Raw genomic sequence first — 8,287 nt, 5'->3', positions numbered from 1 at the left:
TCTAATCCCCACACATCAACCAGAGTGATCATCTCAGAACACAAGTCAGATAGATCACTCCTCTACTCAAAATCCTTCAGTGGTTTCCATCTCACTTGGAGTGCAAACCCAAGTCCTCACAGGAGCCTGCCCCTCACCCTTCTTATCTCCCACTGCACCCCCTCACTGCCTGTATTAGTCAGTTCTCATGCTGCTAGTAAAGACATACCCAAGACAGGGTAATTTATAAAGGAAAGAGGCTTAAGGGACTCACAGTTCCACATGGCTAGGGAGGCCTTACAATCATGGCAGAAGACAAAGAAAGAGCAAAGGGATCTCTTACATGGCATGAGGCAAGAGAGAGCATGGGCAGGGGAACTCCCATTTATAAAACCATCAGATCTTGTGAGACTTATTCACTACTGTGAGAATAGTATGGGGAAACCACCCCAAGTTTCAATTATCTCCACCTGGCCCCACCCTTGACATGTGGGAATTGTTACATTTCAAGGTGAGATTTGGGTGGAGACACAGCCAAACCATATCACTCTCTTCCAGCCATGTTGAACCCCTGGCTGTTCCTTAAACATTCCAAACATGCTCTGACTTCAAGGTCAATGGAATGTGAGCTGTATATTGCATGTGCCTAGACATAAAGTATTCCCCACTACTAAGTGATGGAGCCCAAACAATTGTCCTGAATGCTGACTGCAGACCACCTTTGGTTGTCTCCATTCTGTGAGTTTAAATGCAGATAGAACACATTGCAATAAAACTATGGGCTTTGATTAGCAGTGAGTGATATGTGATCTGAAGATTTTGGGGGGTGGCAAATGCTTATATTTTGTCTATTAATTTAATATCCCCCAATAAAATTGACTGCAAGTGTTGGCTAAAGGATTGAGCCATGACCTTGTCTGTTTGACACTGCAGGTATTTCCAGGCAAGCAGAGGGTATATCCACATGATATTCTGCAATTTGTGATTTAGGGCAGGGATTGGTAAAATTTTCCTATACAGAGAGAGAGATTAAGTATTTTAAGCATTGCAGGTCATTGTAGCATGAACAAAACTTTATTTACAAAAGAAGGAAGTGGTCAGGTTTTCCAGTCCCTGATCTAGGGGCACATGTGGGAGCTCAAGCCAATATTTGGGAGCACAGGTCTGACATGAGAGTTCCTCATTGGAAAATAAATCACATTCTTTTTTTTCTTATACTTTCAGTGTCTGGCACCTCACCTGGCACATAGGAGACATTCAGTAAAAACCTTTCAAAATAAATGACTGAATGAATGAATGTATAGAGTTTGGAGTGCATAGATCTTTTTCTATATGTACAGAGAGATCTTGTTCATTCACAAATTTATTAGACAAAACATTTATTAAGTGTCCCCTATGTGCCAGACACTGGGGCTCAGTAAAAAAGATGGGATTTGCATCAGACCTCACAGAACACAGGGTCAATATGGGGAGACAGATGTTCAAGGGGGACTATCAGCAAAATGTGAAAATTGTTAACACAGAGGAAGTTCAGGGGGTTTTAGAAGCACTTTGGTTTGGAGGGCACTCTATGTTATGGTCCAGGAGAGTCCACTAGTCTCTGCGCTTGTCAATCAAGAAGCAGCAATGGCACAAACCCACAAATGCAGGGAACAGAGCTTATGTAAGTGAAGGACGTGGTCATCTTTGTAAACATGAATAAATTGTTTAGTTGTAAGCACTGTATTCAATAAGGGAGGTTCAAACTGCTTGCATAAGAGGGCTTTCTAGCTATTAATCAAGTGGAAAGCACTGTTGTGAAGGCTGTATTGGGAATTTTGAACACCATTTGATTTCTCTTCAAGCCTCTTTGAGGGAGTATTATGTTCAGAGCCAGCCTTTTAACAATGCACTATATTTAATCTTTTTACCACTTTTGACCTTTTTCTCTAAAAATTATTTCCATTATTCCAAATTTCATTTTGCCTTTGCTATACCTCTTTTGTAAATTTTTCTTTAGGAGATAAAGAACCCATTAAATGCTGTGAAGTCCCTGCCTGCCTTTAATATGGGAGGGATATGGGAGCTCTAATAGAAGGTCACTGGATTGTGAGAAAAATAGATTCACAGTGGGCACAGATTTCTTTTTGTATATATGCTGGCAGCAGTGCCTGGCTGTAACTATAAGAAAAATGGTAAACTCCATCCTTGCACTTTATTAGAATGACGTTTCTTACATTAAAACTGGTCAAACTATAACAAAAGGCCTAACATTCACGTCATCAGAGTTCTGAAGAGAGATGAAAAAGATGGGGCTGAAAAATTACTTGAAGAAATAGTGGCTGAACACTTCCTAAATTTGACAAAATATATAATTTAACAGTTGCAAGAAGCTCAGTGAACCCCAAACAGGGTAAGTTAAAAAAAAAAATCACACCAAGACACATCATATCAAACTTCTAAAAATTAAAGACAAAGAAGGATACCTTGAAAGTAGTGAGAGGGAAACAAAACCTTACCTGAGGGGAAAACAAATCAAATGACGATGTATTTCTCATCAGAAACCATGGAGGCTAGAAGAAAGTGGCACAACGTTTTCCAAATGCTGAAAGAAAAAAACTGTCGACCGAGACTCATAGTCCCAGCAAAAATATCCTCAGGAATGAAACAGAAATCAAAACATTCTCAAAGTAAAATGAAGATAATTTGTCATTAGCATACCTGCCCTAAAAGGATAGCAAACTGAACTTCTCTGAGCAGAAAGGGAACCATAAAAGAAGAAACCCTGAATCATCAAGAAGGAAGAAAAAAACACAGTAAGCATGATACTGTGATACAATAAAGCATACAGTAGTTCTCCCTTATCTTTGGGTGATATTCTCTGAGACCCCTGGTGGAGGCCTAAAACTGTGGACAGTACTGAACCCTATATATATATACTGTGTATATACTGTGTTTTTTTCATATACAAACATACAGGCTGGGTGCAGTGGCTCACACCTGTAATCCTAGCACTTAGGGAGGCCGAGGCAGGAGGATCACATGAGCCCAGGAGTTTGAGACCAGCCTGGGCAACATACAGAGATCTCTCTATAAAAAATGCTAAACAAATTTTTAAAAATTTAAAAAAGAAAACATTTAATAAATATGTATAATAAAGTTTAAGTTATAAATTAAGCATAGTAAGAGATCAACAATAACTTATGATAAAATGAAACAATTATAACATATACTGTGTAAAAGTCATGTGAATGTGGTCTCTCTCTCTCTAAATATCTTATCATATGTAGCATTTTCAGACTGCGGTCGACCACTGGTAACTGAAACCTTGGAAAGTGAAACTGCAGATAAGGGGGACTACTGTATATAATTTGGTTTTTATTTACAGTTCCTGGCTCAGAGCTCCTAAAACATTTGTAAAATCCTGAGTAACTGAAGCAATAGGAGTATTCTTGTTAAAGTATTTGGCCTTTTGTCACTTGTTCCTGAAACAACTCCCAAGCAGGTAAAAGATGTATTTTTTGTTATTCATAACAAACTCCTTTCAACCACACCTGAATTTATGTTAACAAGGTGATTTTTGGAAAGCCTGCAGAAAACAGAAAATGTGGGGCTCACTGCTGGGAAAACTAGTCATGAGATTGGAGGGTTGGAACTTTTAGCCCCACCCCCCAACCTCCAGGGAAGGGAGAGGAGGGGTTGAAGGTTGACTTGGTAACCAAAGGCCAATGATGTAATCAATCATATCTATGTAATAAAGTCTCCATGTACATACGAAAGGACAGGCCGGGTGCGGTGGCTCAGCCTGTAATCCCAGCACTTTGGGAGGCCGAGGCCTGCGGATCACGAGGTCAGGAGATCGAGACCATCCTGGCTAACAAGGTGAAACCCCGTCTCTACTAAAAATACAAAAAATTAGCCAGGCGTGGTGACATGCGCCTGTAGTCCTAGCCACTCGGGAGCCTGAGGCAGGAGAATCTCTTGAACCCAAGAGGCAGAGGTTGCAGTGAGCAGAGATTGTGCCAATGCACTACAGCCTGGGCGACAGAGCAAGACTCCATCTCAAAAAAAAAAAAAAAAAAAAAAAAGGAAGAAAATACAAAAGGACAGTTGGAGGCGGTGGCTCAGCCTGTAATCTCAGTCTCAGCACTTTGTGAGGCTGAGGCCTGCGGATCACGAGGTCAGGAGATTGAGACCATCCTGGCTAACACAGTGAAACCCCGTCTCTACTAAAAATACAAAAAATTAGCCGGGCGTGGTGGCTCACACCTGTAATCTCAGCACTTTGGAAGGCTAAGGCCTGCGGATCACGAGGTCAAGAGATCGAGACCAACCTGGCCAACATGGTGAAACCCCGTCTCTATTAAAAATGCAGAAATTAGCTGGGCATAGTGGCACATAATCCCAGCTACTCGGGAGGCTGAGGCAGGAGAATCACTTGAGATAGCGCCACTGCACTCCAGACTGGAGATAGAGCTTCTTCTCTTCTTCTTCTTCCCTTGAGCTTTCTAAAATATATTTGGTGGTGAAAGCAAAAGCATAATGTTGTCTACTGTGGTTTTAAATGTAGAGGAAATTGTTACAATAATTATACTATAAAGGAGGAAGGATAAAGGAATATAAAGAGAAGTAAGTTTCTATACCTCATTCGGACTGATAAAACGACAACACCTGTAGAATGTCTTCTGTATATATATTACCTATTATTCTACCTATTAATATAAGGTAATACATAGAGCAACCACTAAAAAAGCAATATTTAGATAAAAGTAAAAAATTCTATAGGCACATCAAATTTGAATTCTAAAATATGTTTAACTCACACGAAAGCAGGAAAGAGAAAGAGACATGAAAAATAGACATCACAGGCTGGGTGTGGCGGCTCATGCCTGTAATACCAGCACTTTGGGAGGCCGAGGTGGGCAGATCGTCTGAGGTCAAGACCAGCCTGGGCAACATGGTGAAACCCCGTCTCTACTAAAAATACAAAAATTAGCCAGGGATGGTGGCGGGTGCCTGTAATCCCAGTTACTTGGGAGGCTGAGGCAGGAGAATGGCTTGGGCCCAGGAGGCAGAGGCTGCAGTGAGCCAAGATTGCGCCACTGCACTCCAGCCTGGGCGACTGAGCAGGACTCTGCCTCAAAAAAAAAAAAAAAAAAAAGGAAAAGAAAAGTGACATCACAATTACCTAATACCTGTGGGACTTAAAACCTAGATGACAGGTTGATGGGTGCAGCAAACCACCATGGCGCATGTATACCTATGTAACAAACCTGCATGTTCAGCACATGTATCCCAGAACTTAAAGTAAAATAAAAAAGAAAGAAAAATAGACATCAAACAAAACAAAAGTTAAAATGGCACACTTATGCATAAACATTAATTACCTTAAACGTAAATGGTCCTAATAGACCAAATAAAAGAGAGATCGGTGGAGTGAATTAAATAAGGCTCAGCTACAGATGGTCCCAACTTATAATGGTTCGACTTATAATTTTTTCACTCTACAATGGTGTGAAGCAGTAGTAATTCAGTGGAAACCATACTTTGAGTACCTATACAATCATTCTGTTTTTCACTTTCAGTACAGATTACATGACCTATTGAGCACTTTATTATAAATAGACTTCGTGTTAGATGATTTTGCCCAACTGTGGGCAAATGTAAGTGTTCTGAGCATGTTTAAGGTAGGCTAGGATAAGCTATGATGTTCAGTAGGTTACATTTATTAAAGTATTTTTGACCTGGAATATTTTCAACTTATGATGGGTTTATCAGAACATAATAAGCTGAGGAGCATCAACATATGCCAAGAAGCTAAAAGAAACTCACTTTAAATATAAAGATATAGGCCAGTGGAAAGCAAAAAGATGGAAACAGTTATATCATGTACACACTAATTAAAGGAAAGCAGAAGTGGCTATTTTAACATCATATAAAGTGGACTTCAGAGCAAAGAAAATTATTGGAGACATAAAGGAACATTATATAATGACAAAAGGGCCAATCCACGCACAATTCATAGCCTAAATGTGTATGCAACAGAGTTATAAAACATGTGAAGAGAAAGGTGAAATAGATAAGTCCATAGTTATGGTTGGTGACTTCAACACTCTCAACAATTTATATAACAACTAGACATAAAATTAGCAAGGATATTGAAGAACTCAACACCAGCATCAACTAACAACATCTATTGAGTGTTTATAATACATTCCACCTATCTATAGCAGAATGCCTCTTGTTTTAAAGTGCTCATGGGATATATACCAAGATCAACAATATCCTGGGCCATAAAACAAACCTCAAAAAATTTAAGCAAATTGTAATTATACAGTGTGTTCTATGACCACAAAAGAATCACACTAGAAAAGATAAAAAAATCTCCAAACACTTGGAAACAACACACTTCTAAATAATTCGTGGATCAAAAAAGAAGTCTCAAGGGAAATAAAATACATTGAACTGAATGAAAATAGAAACAACACACCAGAATTTATAGGACACAGTTAAGCAGTGCTGGGGGGGAAACTTATAGCACTAAATGCATATATTAGAAAATAACAAACGTGTTAAATAAATAATATAAGCTATCATCTCAAGAACCTAGGTAAAGAAGAGAAAACTAAATCCAAAGCAAGGAGAGGGAAAGAAATAATAAAAAGAAGAGCAGAAATTGATGAAATTGAAAACAGAAAAAAATGTAGAAAACCAATGAAAGAAATTGCTGGGCCTTAGCAAAGGTCAAGCATGTTTACAAACTGCTAGCAAGACTGACAACGAAAAAAAGAAGATACAAATTACCAACATCAGGAATGAAACAAAATATCACTACAGACCTTACGGACCTGAAAAGAATAATAAGAGAATACTTGGAGCATCTCTACAAACATAAACTTGATGTTGGTTGGTGGCAGATTTGACATTATGTTGATATAACTTGGTAAATTTAGATAAAATGGACCAACTCCTCAAAAAACACCAACTACCATAAGTCATCCAATATGAAATAGATAATTTGAACAGCTCTATAACTATTAAGGAAATTGAATTTGTAATTTAAAATTTTCCCCAAAGAAATCTCTAGGCCTAGCAGGGCTCAGTGGCTTATGCCAATAATCCCAGCACTTTGGGAGGCCAAGGTGGGTGGATCACAAGGTCAAGAGATAGAGACCATTCTGGCCAACGTGATGAAACCCCATCTCTACTAAAAATACAAAAATTAGCTGGGTGTGGTGGCACGCACCTGCAGTCCCAGCTACTTGGGAGGCTGAGGCAGGAGAATCGCTTGAACCTGGGAGGTGGAGGTTGCAGTGAGCCAAGATCACGTCACTGCACTCCAGCCTCACAGCAGAGTGAGACTCTGACTCAAAAAAAAAAAAAAAAAAAAAAAAAAGAAATCTCTAGGCCCAGATTGTTTCACTGGAGAATTCTACCAAACTTTAAAGGAAAATCAATACCAATTCTGTAAAATCTCTCCACACAATAGAAGAGGAAGGATTACTTCCCAGTTCATTTTATGAAGCTGGTGTTATCTTGATATCCAAAGCAGAAAAATATCATACATGAAAAGAAAACTACAGACTAATATTCCTCATTGATATACAGTTGCAAAACTTATTTAATAAAGGAAGTCCACTCTCACTACTCTAATAAAACTTAATGTTGGAGGTTGTAGCCAGTGCAATAAAGCAAGGAAAGGAAACAGACATACAGACCATAGGGAAGGAATAAAACTGTTCTTATTTGCAAATGATATGTCTGTCTACATAGAAATGCCAAGATATTTACCAAAAAAAACTTCCAAAAATAACAGGTGAATTCATCAATGTCACAAAACTTAAGATAATATGCAAAACATATTAAAGAACATAAAAATGTTCAAAATGTAATATTCAAAAATGTAATACCATTTAAAATCAAAGAGAAAGGCAGAGGAACTTTTAGGTATAAATATAACAAAATGTATACAGGGCTTGTATGCTGAAAACTATAGAACTCTGAAAGAAATCTAAGAAGATCTAAATAAACAAGAGTTGTGACATGTTTATGGACTATAAGACTCAACATAGCAAAGATGTCAATTCTCCCCAAATTGATACACAGATTTAATGCAATTCCTATGAAAATATCAGCAAGATTTTTAATAGACATAGACAACATTATTCTAAAATTCATGTGGAAAGGCAAAAGAAATACAATAGCTAAAACCATTTCTAAAAAATAAGAGCACAATGGGAGGAGGTATAATAGCCATACTTGATTTCAAGACTTATTATATAGCTACAGTAATCAAGACTGTGTGGTATTGTGGAGGGATAGACACACA

This window comes from Homo sapiens, chromosome 4, assembly GCF_000001405.40.
Source record: "Homo sapiens chromosome 4, GRCh38.p14 Primary Assembly".
Lineage (NCBI taxonomy): Eukaryota > Metazoa > Chordata > Mammalia > Primates > Hominidae > Homo > Homo sapiens.
The sequence above is the reverse complement of the archived record's forward strand: the minus strand, read 5'-3'. Positions refer to the sequence as shown.